A 21,625-nucleotide genomic window follows, 5' to 3' on the forward strand; every position below is an offset into this window, starting at 1 on the left:
ATTGAGCACGCCAGTCATTCAGTGCAATCGTCCTTCTGTGTGTTAATCAGTCAGGCATGCCCCGGGAGAAGTGGCTGTTTCTTGAACTGGATTTCAGCTATGCAGCCTGGTTTCCTCATTGAGTGGTGGGCCTAGAGCAGCATTCTGATGTGCAAATCCTTAATTATAACATGACCTAAAAAGGCGGAGGATTCCCCAGGACAGTGTGGAGGAGGCACCACATCAATCTCAGCTGGATCTTGGAGACCCCGCTGGAAGAGGCGGCTTCTGAGCGGACAGAGAAGGATACGGGGTGAGAGGACAAGGAGCCAAGGCCTGCAGGCACAGATGCCTGCAGTGTGTGGGAGGAAGTGAAATTGTCAGTGAAGCATGGTTGGGGCCTGAAGTACAGGAGATGGGCAGAGGAGGGGCAGGGACAGCTGCATCCCTGTGCATGGAGGGCCCCTCTGCCCCTATGCTGTCCTGATAGGGACTGCATTTTCATCATCTCATTTACCCCTCCTCATCCCATTGCTGTGACTCCCCTCTCTATACCCTCCCTGTTTCCTCATCTGTAACAGTGGGGACCTCACCAGATTTTGCTAAAGCTCAAATTGGATCAGGTGTCCCCTCATCCCGTTAAAAATTGCTTCGTAGTCCTCTGTTGGGTTTGAAAACTCAAAAGGAACCAGAAATTAGGCAGTGGACATGAATGTGCAGCTACAGCTGGACAGAAAGTAAAAGAGCGGAGATGGGTCCCTCCCGGATCCAGATGGTAGCTAACCAGGGTTCCTGGTAGCCACAGCACTTGCCTCACCTTCAGCTCCTACTACATGTGCACAGCTCATGTTACATGTGCACAGGGCTTTCCCAAGTGTGTTCACCTTCATGATATCGTTTAGTCCTCAGAGGAACTATCAGACCTACATTTCGGGGCAACTGAAGTTCAGGGGGAGCATGGAGGAGCCTGCCTCCAAAGCGAGGGCTGGTTCCCCATTCCACAGGGCCATCGGCCCTGCACTGCAGGCAACTGCTAAGGAAGCGACTCCTATCACAGATGAAGTCATAAGACAAACATCCCCAGATGTTCTGGGCTGGGGCACGTTCTGCCTGCTCTGACACTCACTGGTTCCTTCATTCAGTCATTACTTGCCTGTCTTTATGAAGCTCCTACTCATTCAGGTTCTCCTGACCTTGCTCAGGCCCTCACTTCTGACTGCCCTGAACTGTGCTCACCCTTCAGCACTTAACTCTCTCGCCACCTCCTCCCAGCAGCCTCCCCAACCTCTCGCTGCCTCTGTGCTCCATGTGTGCCTTCCCCTCTGCACGTGTGCTGCTGCTCACGTGTGCCTTCCCCTCTGCACGGGAGCTCACTGTGGGCAGGGATGGTGTGCGTCTCAATGGGCTGATTGTGTCCCCTCAGATTCACATGTTGAAGTCCTCACCCCAAGTACCTGACAATGTGACTGTATTTGGAGATAGGGTTTTTGAAGAGGTAATTAAGGTTAAATGAAGTCATATGCATGGGGCTGTATTCCAGTATGCCTGGTGTCCTTATAGGAAGAGGAAATGAGGACACAGACACACACAGAGGGATGACCACGTGAGGACGCAGGGAGAAGGCAGCCACTTCTGCCAAGAAGGGAGGCTTCAGAAGGAACTAACCTGCTGACACTCTGAGCTTGGACTTCTGGTTTCTAAGACTGTGAGACAATACATTTCTGTTGTTTAAGCTGCCCAGTCTATGGGACTTTGTCTTGGCAGCCCCAGCAAACCCACAGTGTCCTAAGCCTCTTTGTATTCCTAGACTTCCTTCAGCCTGGCTCAGGGACAGGGTCCAGTAGATAGGCATCACTTCTGGAACTGACCTTAAACTGTCCTCCGGATGATTTCCTAAGGCTAAAAAGTTGTCTTGGACAAGGTGGAAGTTTTCTAGCAGGGAAGAGTTGGAAAAGAAGGGGGGTTTTCTATTGAGTATCATTTAAGCAGAATGTTTGAAATGACTACATCCCTTCCTTCATTACACCAAATACTTAGACAGTAGATCCTTGACTCACCTAATGTAAGCACCAAGAAAAGATATAGCGTCCACTTAGAGGGAACTGCTGTCTATTTGACATTATTCTTGCGTGGGGTCTTGGGTAACCTCAAACAGGTGACTGCACCCTTATCCTCCATTTCACACCTCTGTGGGGACAATGATGTTCAGCTTGCCAATTTCACACCTTCTTGACAACTTGGTAAATGGACTTGTGTTGATCTCTGTCCTACCAAATACAGGTTTATTATAAATACAAATAAATTTTCCCTGGAGTCACAGTAGCTTCCACACCCATCACAGGAGGTGAGGCACAGATAATCCAAGGTTTAAGAAGGGCTCAAACCTGTACTAGCCACATAGCCTTGGACAAGTGGCTTCATCCCTTTCTGAGCCTCAGTTCATCGCCTGTAAAATAGGGCCAGTGATGCCTTCAGCATGGTTTGATCCAGAGAGAACCATGTAAAGAGTCTCTCTTTAAATGAGAGCCCTATGTAAAGGTCCAGCACAGAGTAGGCACTCTCTGGCTGTTGGTTCTTGAATCAGGTTTAAAAAGAGCATCTGATGAGTCCCAAGAAGAAAGAAAGTCATTCTATTAATAGGAGCTGAGGACTTCCTGGAGGAAGGGGCAGGTCGACTAAGCTTTGTGATGGATTAAGGGGTGGGTTTTAGTGTATCTTTAACGATGATGACATAATCATTGTCAACATCAATGTCCCCTTGTTGAGAAATGACCTTTGTAATGGAGACTTTTGCCCCAAGCCCAGAAAGTCACCAGCAGATCAGGACTGTCAATTTCACTCTTCTGAGCCTCATCCCAGACACTCTACAATCCCCATGGCTCCTTCCCATAGAACTTGGCTTTCAGCTGCTGCTCACTCTTTTCTCTGCCCAGCTTCACCTTAACAGCCTCCCACTGACCCAGGGGAAAGGGGTACTACCCCCTGGGTGACCGGAATAATCATGTAAGGGAGACAGAAAAAAAAAAGGACTGACCAATTTCTTTTTCGCTGAATCACTTTCTTCATCTTCTCCTCGGTCCTTTTTACTGAGCTTCATGGTTCACTTTTCAGGTTTTGAACTTTTGTTGTTATTGTTTCTGAGAAAGAGAAAAAGAAAGAAGCCATTAGACAGCTGCTTTCTCAGATGTGCAAGTCAGGGGAGGTGGCCTGGAGCAGTCTTCGAAAGGTTTGCTGTGAGGAGCTCTGGCTGGGATGCCAGGATAGGACACAGCAGCATCCTCGCTTGGGCATCTCCCTGCTCTCCTCTGTCCTCAGTTTCTCTATTTTTGAGTGCAGGGCTTCCCACACTTGCCTTGTTGATTATTAAATACAGGCAATGATCCCATTCCTCTTCTGCATCATCAATTTATCTCTCTGTGTTGGATCTCCCCGGGCTATGTACAAAAATGTCCTAGTGTCACCCATATTTTTTTTTTAAAAATCAACTAAAAGTTTTTGGCAAGGATGTGGAGAAATTGGAACCCTTGTATAGGATTGTCTTTGCTAGTGGAAATGTGAAATGGTTTAGCTACTGTGGGAAAAAGTTTGCTTGTTTCTCTAAACATAAAATCACCACATGACCCAGCAATTCCACCACCACATCGATGCCCAAGAGGACTGAAAGCAGCTGCTCAAAGAAAAACTTGTGCACGAATGTTCACAGCAATGATATTCCAATGGCCGAGAGGTGGAAACAGCCCAAGTGTCCTCCAATGAATGAATGAATAAGCAAAATGTGGTCTATCCATATAGCGGAAAATTACTCAGCAATAAACAGAAGTGAAGCGCTGATACAGGCTACAACATGAATGCACCTTGAAAACATTCTGCCAAGTGAAAGAACCCAGACACAGGCCGGGCATGGTGGCTCATGCCTGTAATCCCAGCACGTGGGGAGGCCGAGGCGGGTGGATCACCTGAGGTTGGGAGTTCAAGACCAGCCTGGCCAACATGGTGAAACCCTGTCTCTACTAAAAATAGAAAAATTAGCCGGGTGTGCTAGCAGGCACCTGTAATCCCAGCTACTCGGGAGGCTGAGGCAGGAGAATTGCTTGAACCCAGGAGGCAGAGGTTGCAGTGGGCTGAGATCTCGCCACTGCACTCCAGCCTGGTCAACAGAGTGAAACTCTGTCTCAAAAAAACAAAAAAAAAAAGAACCCAGACACAAAAAGCGACATCTTTTATGATTTCATTTATATGAAATGTCCAGAATTGGCAAATCCGTGGAGACAGAAGGCAGATCAGCGGTGGCCCAGGACTGGGGGAAGGGGCAGTGGCTGCAGCAGCCTCACAGATAAGCAGCAGTTGCCCTTGGGAGTGATGGAAATGTTTTGGAACTGGATGGAAATGGTGGCTGTACAAGAATGTGAATGTAGGAAATGCTGCTGAATTGTTTACTTTAAAATGGTTAATTTTTCCCTATGTGATTTTACCTCATTTTAGAAAAAAACGTGTCTTTGATCCCGTCGCCTCCTGTTTACCACCCCATTTTCCTGCTCCCTGTTACAGCAAAACGATCCCAAAGAGAACTCACTTCCCCAGCTTCCATTCTCCCCTCAGCACCGCACCATTAAAATTGATCTGAATGAGCTCATCAACAAGCCACATCTTGCCAGAACCAACAGTCAATTTCCTACAACCTCCCGGCATCTTCAGTGAGGTTGACCTCTCCTCTTGGTGGTGCGGTGGTGCCATGGAGCTTCTGTCACAGTGGTGGCAGCTTCTGTTGCAGTGGTGGCAGCCTCCTGAGTCTGGAGCATTGGGGCCGAGTGTCCTTTGGTAATGGGGGTAGAACTGCCTACCCAGGCATTTTTTTTTTATTGATACATATTAGATGTACACATTTGGGAGGTACATGTGACAAGTTGATACATTTGTATAATGAAAATCAGGGTAATTAGGACAGCCATCACCTTACATCTTTATCTTTACACTAGAAGCATTCAAATTCTCCTCTTGTAGGTATTTTGAAATGTGCGGTTGATTAATAACTATAGTTACCCTGCTGATCTACGGAACACCAGGCTTTATTTCTTCCATCTGTTGTATCCATGAATCCACCTCTCTTCCAGGCTGTTTTCTGCACACTTCCAGAGCCTGGATCTGCAGCCTCCCCATTGATTTGCTCACGAGCCTCCCATTAAATTCCCTTTCTGCCTGGGCCCCTCCAGGAGGGTTTCTGCTGCTTTGACCAGGAACCCAGCTGCCCAAGCAGCCCCTTCGAGCTGCCACACCAGGCCACTCTGCCCTCAGCTCCCTCATCTGGTTGATCGGGGGTCCCACAGGACCAAGCAATTTCATGGTGGGTCAGTCCTGATATGGATTTGACAACTTGGGTAAAGAAATGACTGGGAGTAATGTGACTCCCTTTTCATGAGAAAAGCCCATAAATGCGAATGCAGCACTCGAGGTCCCCTCAGAATTTCAGTGGTTGAAAAGTGGAGCTGGATGTTCTAAGACTCAGACCCTCATCCTGGCTCCTCGTTTGATTTAAGAAGGAAGACAAGGCCTTGACATCCACACTGGCTGAGGTTCCAACCCTGGGTCTGCCCCCAGCCAGCTGTGTGAGCTCAGGCGACTGAGTTAACCTCTCTGAGCTCAGCTTCCCTACCTGCATCACAGGAAGGACAACATTATCCCTGCATAGAGACCAATAATAATGCATGGACATCATACACAGCACCTAGCAGAGACTTGTAAATTGTAGACTTTTAATATCCTAAGTCATGGTGCCTTCTAGGAAGGGGGGCGGTTACTTACCATTCTGCAATCTGTCTAAACTGAACCTTCCTGCAAGATGCTGCCCAGGGAACATTCCTGCCAAAGGCACCCTGGCATTAGGTCAGAGTGCTGCCTCTGCCTCCTTCCTGTCCTAGGGAACCTGCTGGATGGGCTCAGAGAAGCGGTGCCTCCCAAGCACTAATCACAGAACTTCCCCCACAGCATATCCAGCACTCCCAGCATTGCAGCCTCTGTGCCCCTCACCGCCCTGGGGTGAAGCTTCAGCCCAATCCCTTCCAGCCTTCAAAGTCTGAAGCACTAATCACAGAGCTTCCCCCACAGCACACCCAGTGCTCCCAGCACTGCAGTCTCTGTGCTTCTCACTGACCTGGGGTGAAGCTTCAGCTCAATCCCTTCCAGTCATCCAAGTCCAAATGCCTGATGACATCCTCAGAGGGCTGACATCTGCCCAGTCTCCTCTATTGGACAGATCCACAGGGTGTCTCTGTTTTTAACTGGGTGTGGCCTTGACCTTTGTAAGATGAGCGGCTCCTGAATGCCTTCCAGACGACTAGGACGAGGTTGGCTGACGAGGACATAGATTTTCTAGGCTCAACTCTTGGAATTCTCATTTAATGGATCTGAGATGGGGCAGGGCATCTGAATTTCACCAAGCACCAATCTGCCCTATCCCCGATGCACAGTCTCCAACCAAACCATTGGCTTCTCAGTGCCTCCCAGACTCTAGCCTTGGCTTGCCACCTTGATGATGGGATGCTTTAGGTAGCCTTAGCTATCCTTTTTACTTGGTTGTGTCCTAAGCCAGGGGTTCTTACCCTGGCTGTTCATTAATGTATAAATGTACAATGTATAAAATCCCAAAGCCAGGCTCCTTGTTGGACAAGAGGAATTTTTTAAATATTTTATTTTATTTTATTTATTTTATATTTTTATTTTATTTTATATTATTTTATTTTATTTTATTTTAATTATTTTATTTTATTTGAGATGGAGTTTGGTCTTGTTGCCCAGGCTGGAGTGCAATGGCACAATCTCATCTAACTGCAACCTCTGCCTCCCGGGTTCAAGCGATTCTGCTGCCTCAGCTTCCCGAGTAGCTGGGTTTATAGGCACCCGCCACCATGCCTGGCTAATTTTTGTTTTTGTTTTTGTTTTTGTTTTTTTTAGTAGAGATGGGGTTTCGCCATGTTGGCCAGGATGGTCTGGAACTCCTGACCTCAGGTGATCTACCTGCCTCAGCCTCCCAAAGTGCTGGGATTACAGGTGTGAGCCACCATGGCTGGCAGAGATAAATTTTTTTTTTAAAGCTCCTTGGGCTGTTGCAAGGTGTGGTGCTGTTTAAAGTAATCACTATCTTAAGTAATGATATGCATGAAATCTAATGGTAAAATATATACATAAAAAGACATGCATATATATGAATACCCAAAACATGTTCATGTCTATCAAAGGGAACAAAGTTTCCATTAGACAGGAGGATAAGTTTTCCTAATCTATTGTACAGTATGATGAGCATAGTTAATAATAATGTATATTTCAAAATTGCTGCAAGACTAGATTTTAAATGTTCTTACCACAGAAAACTGGTAAGTAGGTGAGGGGATGAGTTAGCTTGATGGAATCATTCTATGTTGCATCTATATACCAAAAGATCACATTGTACCACACACATATGTACAATTATTTGTCAATCAAAAATAAATAAATAAATAAAATACTCTGTATGATACTATAATGGTAAATACAAGTAATTATGCCTTTGTCCAAACCCACAGAATGTACAATACCAAGAGTGAACCCTAATGTACAAAATGACCTTTGGGTAATTTGGATGTGTCAATATAGGTCCCTTTTACATTGTAATAAATGCAGCATCCTAAGGGGATGTTGCTCAGGGTGGGGGTGATAGGCCATTCAAGTGTGTGGGTGTAGGGGGGCAGGTGGGAAATCTCTGTACCTTCCTCATAATTTTTCTGTGAACCTATCGTAAAGCTCCTCTAAATACAAAAACAAAAACGTGCTCATCCACAACCAACCAAAAGTCATCCTGGCTTTCGTGTTTTGAGAAACTCTAAACTAGATGCTAAAAGGCCTTTCCCATCTTTCTGGTCCAAATCTAGGAAATGACAGGATTCTTCTTATCGAGCCCCTCTTATGTAGTAGACCCCACCAGGCCGCTTTGCATGTGTGATGGCATGGCGCATAGCAGCAGCCCTCAGCAGAGGTCATGATCAGCCCCATTTCATAGACCTGGAAACTGGGGCTTAGGGGCTCCCAAAGCTGAGTCTTCTAAAACTAAGAAGTTAGCTGCAGAGAACTCAACCCCAGCTGCACGCCTCTGCTTTCTATCATGTCAGGAGCAGAAAAGTGAGTGGCCCTGCCTTTCAGGGGGCTTAGATTGAGGAGCTGGGATTCCATTTGTGTTACTGGTTTGTAATATCAGCTAAGCAGAGGCCTTCCAAAGGACTGGCACCAGGGACCAGGAATGCTCAGATGAGCACGTCACTCTGCAGACAGTCCAGATTTAGCACTGTCACCCATGCCATTTCCTCCCTTTGATTTCTTCCAACATGAGACACAAAAGGATAGAGTTTCACTCATATAAGAGAGGTCCAGCTTTAATAATCAGCACTGTAATGATCAGAGTTTTCATTATTCAATTGTTTGCATGGCCAACAGGCTGGCCCATGACCTTTCATTCCCAGCAAAGCCTAATTGCATGAAAGTGCCACACAGTTTGAAAACAGGCTGCATTATTTACGGATCCAATCGAATTAGCTTGCAATTCCCAGACCAGCTTTAGATCAATGAGATGCATTGTGTGTTCTCCCACGTGGGTAAGGAGGCCTCTCTGCTCCTGGGCAGCCCAAGACAGCTCTGTAGTCAGAAGATGAGTCTTTGACGGCTTCCAAAGCATCGTCTTAATGGGCACAGTAGGATGCTAGAGGGGATCCCCCAAATCTATTTCATTTTTAAACAAAAAAGAGTGAATGTTTCTGCTTATGAAATTCTGGAAAGTTAGTCCTAGCCAGGAAGGGGCCGGAGGACTCCGTTGCAGAACTCCTGCCTTGTGGAAATCAGGAAACCGAGACTGAGTGAAGCAGCCAGTTAGCGGAGCTGGAGAAGGATGTCCCATGTCCTGAGACTGACCCCATTCTTGATCCCAAGCACTGTAAATACTGTGCTGATTAAGATTTAGCCACTGTCCCCTGGGAATGCACTGGGAATGAGGGTCACCAAGAGGTCACAGGCATAAAAAGAACCTTCCTGCATATTGTTATCTGTGCTCTGACAGAGGCAAAACAGGGCGCTGGAAAGGAGGCAGCGTGTTTGTTTTAGCTTCACTCATTCATGCGTTCACTTATTCATCCGATGGTGTATATTGAGCACCTACCTTGTGTCAGGCCCACCCTATTCTAGGCATTATGGACCCAGAGCCAACAAGGTGGGAAAAGTCCCATCTCCAGCTCCTCACACCAAGTGGGGCATCAGACTAATTAACCAACACACTTAAATTGACGTTCAGGTACCATTATAGCAAACTCTAGAAAGCAGTGTAAGGTGATGAGAGAGGCAATATCAGGAAATTCTGATGTGATGGGAGGAGTGGGAATTAACTGAACATCTGTAGATGTGGGGTTGTGGGTTGGGTGGGGGTCCAGGCAGAAGGAGCAGCAAGGGCCAGGGCTGGAAAGAGCTTGTGTGTGAGGGTTTCAGGGACTGGTGTGGTGGGGTTGTCAAGGCCTGTCTTGTGACGTGGTTAGGGATGTGGGACTGCAGCCTAAGAGCCATGGGAAATCTAGATGGTTTCTATATTTGGGCAAGGGGGTTGGAGGATGATCAGGGGAGCTCTTTACAAAGAGCTGCTGGCTGCTGGGCTGTCAGGGTTGGGGAGAATGGGGGGATGGTGACAAGGTGGAAGCAGAGACCAAATTTGGCCCACATAAAAGATGATGCTCATACCAAGTCAAGTCTACTAATAGTAAACTAATCCAAGGATCACAGGAGACAAGCCCTGCCAAGTCCTCCATGCACACAGTCCCTGGCCATGGTCAACAGGAGACCTGTGTAGCTACTGTCATTACCCAGCCCGTGCAGCTCTCACACCCTGCTGGACAGGTGACGTTTATCCTCTTTCAAAACTCTCCAGGAAGTATCTTGTGGGAAGGTAGTGAAATTTGGCTTCAATGGCATAGTGAGGTTGCAGTTCTGATGACCTAACCGTGACCATGGGCAAGTTATGTAACCAAGCTGAGTCACCAATTCTTTGTTCATAAAGAAAAATTTGAGTCTCTCTTTGCAGGTCGAGTGCTGCAATTAAAAAGATGCATGTAAAGCCGGGCACTGCCGAGCTGTTCACTAAACCTTAGTCCTCCCCAAAACCCCACCTATGTGCAGACTCCTCCCTCATCCCTTTCACGTGCTGAGGAGTCTCTGAGGGTCTAACTCAGTTTCCTCCTTTTGTCCAGGGCTCCATGAAAATCAAATTTCTGCTCTTAATGGCTTATTATCACTTGCTCGAGTGTGTTATGTGGGATTGTGTTACAGGAAAGAGCTAAGGTTGTTTGTCTTGCAACAGATGGGATAAGTAAGTTAGAGCTTCGGTATGTCACCCCCACTGTCTATCAGCCCGGCTGCTTCCCACCTTCCTGTCTCCATTGGAGGCTCATCTATCTACTCCCAGGCGGCTTCCTTCTGACTCAGATGGCTTCCCGGCAGCCGAAGCATGATTCTAGAACACCCTCTTCCCCCCGGCTCTGCTTCTGTGAACACACTCAACCCTCAAAACTTAGCCTCAGTCTTGCCTTTTCCAAGAAATCTTCAGTATCTACCCAGAAATCATCTGGATGAGGAACAGTGTTTTATAAACACTGGACTAAGATATCCCAGCCTGGCTTCCTCTGAGCATCTGGCCCGCTTAAAATATGTATGTGGGACAAGCAGCTGTGTGGCTGAAGCCTTGGTCCATGTCTAAGGGGCAGACTTCCGTGTTAGTTACCCCAATACGCCCACTCTCTGCTTCAGTGAGCAAGCTCTCTGCACTCGCCTGCTTACCCACTCACTCAGCAACACCTGCAGCTGCCTGGCCGACCTGGGTGGGGCTGGGGACGCTGAGGTGGGAAACGGGTGTCGCTGTGCTCGTGGGTTGTCATCCCGGTGGTGGTGTCCGAAATCCAGGGCGAGGGCCACCCAAACTGTTCCCTTAAAGAACCACATGGGCCCTGTGTCCTTAAGCCCCAGGGCTAATGTCATCCCAAGCCCTTCTGCCCTGCAGAGCTTTCCGCCCTTTTCAAGGGCTTCCCCCGCCAGCCCCTTTTCTCCTACTCTGTCCCCGGGGATGTTTTTCTCTTACTGACTCTCTCCCCTCAGCAGCACCCCCAGCACCCACCAATCTTCCCTGATCTGAGCCAGTCCTGACATATACACCACAGAACGTCCCGTGCTGGATCGGCTTCCTAAATCCCCTTGGGGGAATCAAAAGAAGAAAAGTAACAAATCTGGAGAACTATTACTATTTCATGACTCAAAAGAAACAAGAAAAGTATGGAGTCAAACTGAAGCATACATTCAATACACATTTTTCCAGGTTTTAATCATTTCATTCATTAAACCCCGTACATGAGCGCACCCACGCAAGGAGCTGATGGACACAGAGGCACGCCGTCCAGCCCTCCTGCGACCCCGCACTTGTCAGCCAGGAATGTCCTGGCACACCTGCAGTTTCGAGGTCCCCTGGGGGAGCAGCATGGAATCAGTTTCTGGCAAAGCCAAGGCCACAGCCGCAGGGTTTGCCTTGGGAGATGGTGAGAGGGACTGTAGCCAGAGCTCTCACTTGGCATTTTGTGTGCCTTCATCCTTACAGCTCTTGTCTTCATACGAGGGCAGCTGGAGCCTGTTGTGAGCAGTGCAGGACTCGCGGCCAGGCTCCCTGAGTTCTGATCCTGCCTCTTCCCCTTGTTCACTGTGGCGTGAGGCAAATCCCTTCCACTCATGGGGCTTCTGTGTCCTCATCTGTAAACAGGTGTGCAGACAATGATGCCAGCCTCACAGGAGTGTTATGAGGATTGAAACAGTAGGTACACAGCTCCTAGAACAGCACCTGGCACTAGAAATGTTTGATCATCAGTGGGGGAATCAAAGCTCAGAGAGGTGAAGCTACTAGCCCAAAGTCACACAGCAAGAAAGAAGCAGGATGACACGTGAGCCAAGCCCCCTCTGCCACACTAGCTCTGGAGGCCATTGGCTCTCAGGTGATGGGTTTTCTTTGTACCTGGACATGGGGGTCAGGAAAGCTCCAGTGTAGCTGCTGACCTTTGACCTGAAGGAATCTGGGATCTCTCAGATGGGGAGTCCACCATCAGTCTCAGCAAAAACACTACCAATCAACCAGTCCATCGCTGATGTCTGAAACTCTCTGGTGCAGGACGTTTCACCCTTTCTGGTTTTGTCGAGTTGGCCCCCTCCTGGTAGAGCACTGCCACCCCGCAGGTTTCCAAGGGCCAAGTCCTGGTAGTACTGACAGTTGACCAGCTAAGCTGCATCCTAGGCACCCAGGCTGGGCTCGGGCTGCTGTGTCACCAAAATCCCTGGTCTTTGTACCATTGGGTACAAAGAACACTTCTCAACAGAAGTGGAGCGAAGTCCTCTTTGCCTCGACCCTTGGCCTGGTGCCAGGCCTTCTGTTCACTCTCAGATCAGGGATGCTCTGGCCTCCTGGGGGACTAAGATGTTCAGGAGCTCATCCTGGGCCACCCACAGGCATCCCAGCTCCTCTCAATGCTGGTTGCTTGGCACTGAGCCATAATTGAACGATTCCAGACTTCACCTTCTGCATCTCGAAGGTGGAATAAGGGCAATGAACCCCACCTCATGGGCTGGCTGAAGGGATACCTGCATGGATCCTGGGTGTGATGCTTAATTTCAGGTGCCTGAATTAAAGAATCCCTAGAAAGCTGGTCAAGCCTCACTTTGGGGTGTGTCTGTGACGGCGTTTCTGGAGGAGACTGGTGTGGGAGTCTGTGGACTGAAGGGAGCAGATCTGCCCTCCAGTGGGGGGCAGGCACCATCCATTGACTGGTGGTCTAGATCAAACAAAATGGGCAGAAAAAAAGGCATTTCTTTTGTTTGTTTGTTTTGTTTTGTTTTGTTTCTCTGTCTGTCTCTCTCCTGGAGCTGGGATACTCTTCTTCTCCTGCTCTTGAAGGTCAGAACTCCGAGCTCCCTGACCTTTGGACTTTAGGACTTGCACCAGCGTCCCATCCACTGCTCTGGTTCTCAGGCCTTTGGCGTCAGACTGAGAATTACCATTGGCTTTCCTGGTGCTGAAGCTTCTGGATTTGGACTGAGCCGTGCTGCCAGAATCCCAGGGTCTCCAGCTTGCAGATGGCCTGTCAAGGGACTTCTCAGCCTCCATAATCATGTGAGCCAATTCCATAATAAATCCCATCCATCCATCCATCCATCCATCTAGCTAGTTAGCTGTCCACGTCCTGTGTATATAAACAGATTATAACACGTTTTCTGTCTCCCTGGAGAACCCTGAGTAAACTACACTTGAGAAGGCCCAGTTCCACCCCTTTGGGCTTCGGTTCCATCACTTGCAAATTGTGTGACCCCATACACATTTCCGTAAACCTGAGCCTCAGTTTCCTCATTTGTGAAATTGACCAAAAAAAAAGAATAACTAAGTCCCAGACTTTGGGTCAAGATGAAAAGAGATAGTGTACGAAATGTCTGATCACAGTGCTGAAAGCGCATATCACAGAGTAAAATTCAACCAATCCATAAGGCCATCGCTCTTCCATAACATTGTGGCTGTGCTGCTATTGGGTGTTTACGCTACACACACAATTCCATGTGGTGGTTTCAATATTCTCTTTACCCTTTGTTGTCCTGCTTTTTCCAGTTTCCATTCCAGTGTATTTTTCCTCAACATTAGCATCATTTTACATGGCTGTTTAACATTCTATCTTTTACTCGGCCATATTTCATTTAACCAGTCGGTCATTTGGGTTTTCTCCCTTTTTCCAATACTACACACAGCTCTGTAGTGAGCACGTATGGGTAAATCATTCCTCCATCATCCAGATTCTATCCTTAGCACAGATTTCAAGAAATGGAATTATTGTATCAAAAGGCAATGCACAGAAACAACAGGCGGTGCATGCTTTTAAATCTCTTGATGCGTATTGATCTTTCATGTTCCAAAAAGGATTCTAGTCCGGGATTTCCACCCTGGTAAGTATCAGGAGGCTGTGTGGCCCACCGCTCCTCCTTGGGCTTGCTAAGGAGCAAGCGGGGCCTCTAGACTTAATTGTTAAGCATTCTCAAATCCTGCTGCACAACCTTGTTCAGAAATACTGCCTTTGAGTCATTCACTCATTTATTTAGTCATTCAATGCTTAATTCCCAATCCTCAGCCTACTCAGCCATCTTTCTTTTTAATAGCCTTGTTGAAGTGTGATTTATGTACCATAAAATGCACTCATTTTAAGAGTACAATTTAACGGTTTTTAGTACCCTCACAGCAGTATGCAACCATGATGACAATCTAATTTTGGAGCATTGTCATCATCTCAAAATGAGACCTCAGCCCCTGGCCACCACTGAACTGTGTTCTGCCTCTCTAGATTACGGACTTGCCTTTTCGGAACATTTCATAAAAATGGGATCATACGGTACGGTATATGACCTTTTGTATCTGGCTTCTCTCACTTAGTGTCATGTTTTTGATGTTCATCCTGTCGCATTAGCCTTCTTCTGGGCAAACCTTTTTCTCCTGGCCTCCTCGACACAGTGCTCTTTACATTTTCTCTACTTCCTCAGTTGCTCCTCCCAGAGCTGAGACTGGGGTGAAGTGACTGAGGCAGTTGTCTGGGAATCAAAATTAAAGAGAATACTGAAAACTCAGTCATCAAGGTAAATAATAATTAATCCAACAGTTTAAAAAATAAAATGAATGAAAAAAACCTAACTTTATCACAAACAAAATGTCAACATTTTAAATAAAGGCAGGGGCTGGGCACAGTGGCTCACACCTGTAATCCCAGCACTATGGAAGGCCAAGGTGGGCAGATCACTTGAGGTCAGGAGTTCAAGACCAGCCTGAGCGACATGGTGAAACCCTGTCTCCACTAAAAACACACAAAAAATTAGCCAGGCGGGTAGCGCATGCCTGTAATCTCAGCTACTCGGGAGGCTGAGGCACGAGAATCGCTAGAACCTGGGAGGTGAAGGTTGCAGTGAGCTGAGACGGCACCACTGCACTCCAGCCTGGGTGACAGAATGAGACTCTGTCTCAAAAATAAATAAATAATAAATAAATAAATAAAGGCAGGACCCACGGTAGCTGTGATAAGGAGGAGGTGAGTGAGGTGAGTCTGGCAGGAAGAGAGTTGGCCTTGAGACAAGGTGTCCCCATCACACTGTCTGGAAAATGGTCCTGAGCACTCTGGGCCTCTTTCTTGCTTTGATTTTTCTCCCTAAGACTTTCTGCATTTGTGAGTCCCTTACATAGTATGTGTATATTTGTGAAGTGTGTGTGAGGGGTGATGCCTTTAAAAAAATTAGTCCAGGCCAGGTGCAGTGGCTCACGCCTGTAATCCCAGTGCTTTGAGAGGCCGAGGCGGGCGGATCACTTGAGGTCAAGGAGTTCAAGACCAGCCTGGCCAACATGGTGAAACCCAGTCTCTACTAAAAATGCAAAAATTAGTGGATATGGTGGCAGGCACCTGTAATCCAAGCTACTAGCGAGGCTGAGGCAGGAGAATCACTTAAACCCAGGAGATGGAAGTTGCAGTGAGCCGAGATAGCACCACTGCACTCCAGCCTGGGTGACAGAGTAAGACTCTGTCTCAAAAAAAAAAAAAAAAAAAAAAAAAAATTAGTTCAGACAAGTGGGTACAGCCAGGCCACGGAACAAAGTGTTCCTCTATCACTTGGATTCTTCCATTAAAATAGATTTCAATCAATGGAACTACTGTGTCAAATTCAAGGCAAAAGAACTAAATGCAATGGACATTTTAAAGTCGCTTGATGGATCTTGATGTTTTACACCAAGGTTTTACGCAATGACATGGAGCATGTCTGCTTCACATCCCGGGAGAGCCTCGGACGGCAAGCTAAGGATCCCGAACTTGATTCTTAGGCATGGAGGGCTTTTAGGCAAAGAGCACCAAGGTCCCTCAGTCACTGTCAAACACTCATTCACACAAAACAGAGATGGCAGCACACTAGAGCAGGATCAACATTTTTCTTAAAGGGCTAGGTGGCTAAATAGTCTCATCTAAGCTAGCCATGGAATTTCTGTTGCTCTCACAACTCTGCCGTTCTAGTGTAGAAGCAGCCGTAGACAATGGTTAAACAGATGTGCATGATTGTGTTCCAGTAAAGCTTTATTTTAAAAAGCAAGGAGCTGGCCCAGTTGGCATGTGAGTCAAAGTTTGCTACCCTGCTCTAGAGTGTTCATGTGAGCTCAATGAATCTCCGACTTCATGCTTGTTGCAGAAATGGACCTGGAATGTCCCTTAACAGTTTTCAGTAGAACTGCCTTACTCAGAACTTTTCTCTGACAGTGTAAGTGCCGCACACACTTAACAGTGCCCAGTGGAGCACCCTCATGCACATGCAGTGTGAGCCTTTTGGAAGCTGGTGGAGGGCCAGTGCATGGAGGAGGGAATGAATGAATGTCCATCTGTGCTCAACAGCAGATAGTGCAAGATGGGACGTGAAGGGCCAGAGGAAACTGGAAGGTATGCAAAAGCCATTTCCAACAAAACCTGTAGTTTCCCATGAAGTGAACACTTCTTTTCCCCCACCTCCTCGTCCTCCGCTATTCTCTATCTTCATGAACAATAACATCAAACACCTCCCTCCTGCTTATGCTAGGTGACGCCTAAATAACTTGCCTCATCCTCCTCGCTGCCTTCCTTCTCCTGGATCCCCACATTCAGGGGGTTCTATCTCTGAAGATGGTTCTAACTTGGTCCCCTCCATCCCCACTGTCATCCTCCTGGTCCAAGCCCTTGTCTTCTCCAGCAGGCTGGACATCAGCCTGCTGACTGGTCTCACCATGGCCCATCTCCACTCTCCAGTCCAATTCTCTACAGCATCCCTGGAGTCATCTTTCTCAAAAGCAGGCAGTGTCATTGCTTCTCTGCTCCAAACCCTTAGATGGCTTTTAGTTGCTCAGTTCTAGATTAAGCCTTCACTTAAAGAAAGAAAGAAGAAAGGAAGGGAGGAGGGAATTGCAAGCATCTGCAATGAGCGCCAGTTCCAGGGCAGCACTGTGCCAGTGACATCTCCTCTGCACCCACCTGCCCCTGGCACATGACCTGCAGAGACACCACCGGCTCCCAGCATAGAGAGCTCCACTTTGCCCACACACCTTGCCCTGCTCCCGTCGTTGCCTTGGCATTCAACATTCCCCCAACCAGGAGCACCCTTGCCTGTTTTCTTGGCCTGACCAATTCCTACTCACATTTTAGGGTTTTCCTCCAGTTCGAATCTTCCTCTGCATCTCCTTCAGGAAGAGTTTTCATGCCCCTCTGGAGTCCAGAATGTTTAATTCCAGTGCCTGGTGCCAGCCCTAGAGCCAACACTCAGCCAACAGGAACTGAGTGAATAAATGACAGTCAGCTTCTATTTGTGAGAACTGATGTTGACCAAGTTGAATTGTAATTGTTTGAGTAACTTTTCAAAATTAATCATCGGGTAATGCCAAGCAAAGAAACAGAAAGGGAGATTCACACTGCGCTATGCCATTAAGTAACCCTCTTTCCAGGTGGCTGCTCACATCCCCAGGGAGAAAACTGACTTTTGATTACCTGTTAGTGTAAGTGCTTTCTACGTGTTGTCTTGTGTACTCCTGTGATACAGAAGCTCTACCATTCCCATTTTATACATTCAGAGAGGTCAAATAACTCGCCTGAGGTCACACAGCCAGGACCTGGAACTGAAGTTCGGCAGCCCCCATACCCTTGATCTTTCCCCATGCTTAGCTATCCACCAGACACAAGAGAAACTGCTGTGCAGTTGCTCTGTGCTCTCTGCATCAACCCAGTAGCAACCGCAGAGCCACACTCCTTTTCTGAAGCTTAGGGGATTTTATCTGTGAGAGCTGGGAAGTAGCTCTGGGGAACATTGGAGGGTCAGCTTCCTGATCATTTAAAGATTCGAATGTCCAAAGAATCCAGAGAAAAAGAACATAATCTCTAGTATCAGAAGCCTGGAGATTAGTTCCACTGTGTTGGTGAGCAGCCTTCTAGAGTCTTTTTTAAGCTATAGGCATCTTGCCTGACATACAGTATCTGATGACTGCTGGCCTAGCCACAGACAAATCTCAGCTCAAAAATCTTCCATCCCACAGTGAAGTAGATTTCAGTCATTACCCCTTTGTGCCTTGAGTGGGAGGTGGCGGAAGTTCCTACTGCAAACAACACTCAGGGAGTGTCACCTTAACTTCATGGCATCTGGGACCCAGGTTTCAAGCCAGGCTCTTTTCTCTGTGTGCTGAAGAATGAAGTACTGCCAATCACTTCTCCCTTTGGGGGTGTCAGCCCCTGGAGCCGCTGCTCCTTACCATAGCTATTGGTGGTTGGCTTTCCTATGCCAAGGCAAAAATCAACAAACCCCACGTTTCTGACCCCGGTTTTTGGTGAAACACCTGCTGGGTCTTCTCATTACAACCAAATACCAGACCGATCGTTCCAAACACAGGAATTGACCTTTCCTTCACTTGGTTCCCAAGAAGGCCAAAATTGAAAAAGGAAAATGCAATGAGACCTGGTTTTTCAGGCAGAAGGGGGAATGGGGCAAGGCAGGCCAGAAGGCCATAGAATTTGCAGACAACTGAACAATTTGAGTAAAAGCTATTAGTGACATGCCATTTTCTTCTTGCCAAGAACAGTCTTCCCTTCATAAATATCTGCAGGGTCATGACTGAAGTAAACAGGTGGTTTGTAATAATTGTATCCCTTTTACTCTCTGGTGCAGCCAAAGTGCTTGATAAATAAATGAGTGATTATAAGCCACACACTTAAGAAGTTAGAAAGAAAATAAGAAAAATGTTCACAGTATTTTCTAGGAATGTGTTTGGTTTTGATTCCATATAAATTTTCATGGTTTTTTTCTAATTGTTTTTCTAATCATGGAAACATTATTTTGAAGTGAAAATTAAACTATTTTAAAATAAGGTGCTTACAATGATTTGCAGCATTCAAATTGCCTTTAATTCTATTCAAAGCAGGTTACACTCTATTTCCTTCAACAATCCTTTTGAAACCATTATGATAATTATATTTGGCATAAAATGTTCATATATGCCTTGATAATACATGACTTTAAAGACTTAAAAATACCAAAAAATGGCCGGGCGTGGTGCCTCACACCTGTAATCCCAGCACTTTGGGAGGCCGAGGTGGGTGGGTCACAAGGTCAGGAGATCGAGACCATCCTGGCTAATATGGTGAAACCCCGTCTCTACTAAAAAATACAAAAAAATTAGCTGGGTGGTGGTGGGTGCCTGTAGTCCCAGCTACTCAGGAGGCTGAGGCAGGAGAATGGCGTGAACCTGGGAGGCAGAGCTTGCAGTGAGCTGAGATCGTGCCACTGAACTCCAGCCTGGGTGACAGAGCGAGACTCCATCAAAAACAAAAAGAAAACAAAGCAAAAAACCAAAAAATTGGATAACCTAGAAGAAATTAATAAATTCATAGAAACATATAGCCAACTAAGATTAAGTCATAATCAAACAGGAAATCTGAGCAGATCTATAACTAGTGAGGAGATTGAAGCTGTAATCAAACAGCTCTCAACAAAGAAAAGCCCAGGACTAGAAGGATTCACTACAGAATTCTACCAAACATTTAAAGAACTAACATCAGTTCTTCTGAAACTCTTCCAAAGAACTGAAGAGGAGAGAACACTCTCAAACTTATTCTATGAGGACAGAATTACCTTGATACCAAAACCAGACAAAGACACAGCAAGAAAAAAACACTATAGATAAACCCCTGATTAATATTGATGCAAAAATCCTAAACAAAATACTACCAAACCAAATTCAACAGCATGTTAAAGGGATCATATATCATGACCAGGTGGGATTTATGCCTAGAATGCAAGGATGGTTCAACATATGAAAATCAATCAATGTAACAAAATGGAGGACTAAAACTGCCTGATCATCTCAATGGATGCAGAAAAAAATATTTGACAACATTCAGCCCCCTTTCATGATAAAAAAAACACTGAACAAACTAAGAATAGAAAGAAACTACCACAACATAGTAAAAGTCATACATGGAAAACCCACAACAGACATCATACCCAATGGAGAAACACTGAAAGCTTTTCCTCTAAGATCAGGAACCAAGCAAGGATGCCCACTCTCACCATTATTATTTGACATAATACTGGAAGTTCTAGCCAGAACAATCAGAAAAGAAAAAGAAATTATTAAAGACATACAAACCAGAAAAGAAGACTTAAAATTATTTCTATTTGGAAATGACACAGTCTTATATGTGGAAAACCCTAAAGATCCTACCAAAAAACTGCTAGAATGAATAAACAAATTTAGCAAAATTTCAGGATACAAAATCAACACTCAAAAATCAATTGTGTTCCTATACACTATCCATGATCAATTGAAAAAGGAAATTTTTAAGAAAACAAGTTCATTTACTATAGTATCAAAAAGTATAAAATACTTGGGAATAAACTTAACCACCAAGGTAAAAGACTTGTACATGGAAAACTACCAAACATTGGTGAAAGAAATCAAAGAGGATACAAATAAATGGAAAAACATCCAATGTGCTTTAATTGGAAGGATTAATATTGTTAAAACGTCCATATTACCCAAAGCAGTCTACACATTCAATGCAATCCCTGTCAAAATCCCAACTGCATTTGTTGCAGAAATTGGAAAAAAATACTAAAATACATATGGAATTACAAGGACCCCAAATAGCCAAAATGATCTTTAAAAAGAACAAAGCTGGAGGACTCACACTCCCTGATTTCAAGACATAATACAAAGCAACAGTAGTGGTACTGGCATAAAGATGAATATATAGATCAATGGCAGGAGCAGACAGCCAAGAGACGAACCCCTGCATTTATGGCCAAATAATCTACAAGAGTTCCAAGACCACAGAGTGAAAAAAGGATAGTCTGTTTAAAAAATGGTGTCAGAAAACCTGGATATCCACCTGCAAAAGAATGAAGTTGGACTTTTCCCTTGCAGCAGATATGAAAATCAACTGAAAATGAATCAAAGACCCAAATGTAAGGCCTAAAACTATTACACCCCTAGAAGAAAACATAGGAGAAAAGCTTCAGGACATTGGATTTGGCAATGATTTATATATGACACCCAAAGCACAGGAAACAGAAACAAAAATTGGCAAATAAGACTACACCAAACTCAAAAACGTTTGTGCATCAAAAGAAACAATCAACATAGTGGAAAGGCAACCTATGGGAGGAAATAATTGCAAATTATGTATCTGATAAGGGATTGCTATGCAGAATATATAAGAAATTTCTACTACTCAACAACAACAACAACAAACAAATAAGACAATTTTTAAATGGGGAAAGGACTTAAATAGACATTTCTCCAAAGAAGATATGAGTGGCCAATAAGCACATAAAAAGATGCTCAATATCACTAATCATTAGGGAAATGCAAATCAAGACCATAATGTATTGTCACCTCATCCATCAGGATGGCCACTATCAAAAGAATGGAAAATAATAAGTGTCAGCAAGGATGTGAAGAAGTTGGAGCCCTTGTGCACTGTTAGTGGAAATACAAGACAGAAAACAAAATACAGAAGTTCCTCATAAAATTGAAAAT

At 45.8% G+C, this 21,625-nt stretch overlaps 1 protein-coding gene across 4 annotated transcripts in view; it reads right to left on the reverse strand.

Annotated features, from left to right (window-relative positions):
- SLC2A9 (solute carrier family 2 member 9) overlaps positions 1–17,380 on the reverse strand; it is a 269,246-nt gene extending 251,866 nt beyond the window's left edge. For 3 of the 4 annotated variants that reach the window (XM_011513858.2, XM_047415973.1, XM_047415975.1), the window contains exons 1-2: positions 6,128–6,225; positions 3,014–3,116 (exon numbers count right to left, since the gene is read on the reverse strand). In XM_011513858.2, the coding sequence (XP_011512160.1) occupies positions 3,014–3,076 (63 nt within the window). In that variant the 5' untranslated portion in view covers positions 3,077–3,116; positions 6,128–6,225. Of the gene's footprint in view, positions 1–3,013; positions 3,117–6,127; positions 6,226–17,239 lie in introns of those variants that run through there. The other variant, NM_001001290.2, reaches the window with a different exon arrangement.

This window comes from Homo sapiens, chromosome 4 (genome assembly GCF_000001405.40).
Source record: "Homo sapiens chromosome 4, GRCh38.p14 Primary Assembly".
Taxonomy (NCBI): domain Eukaryota; kingdom Metazoa; phylum Chordata; class Mammalia; order Primates; family Hominidae; genus Homo; species Homo sapiens.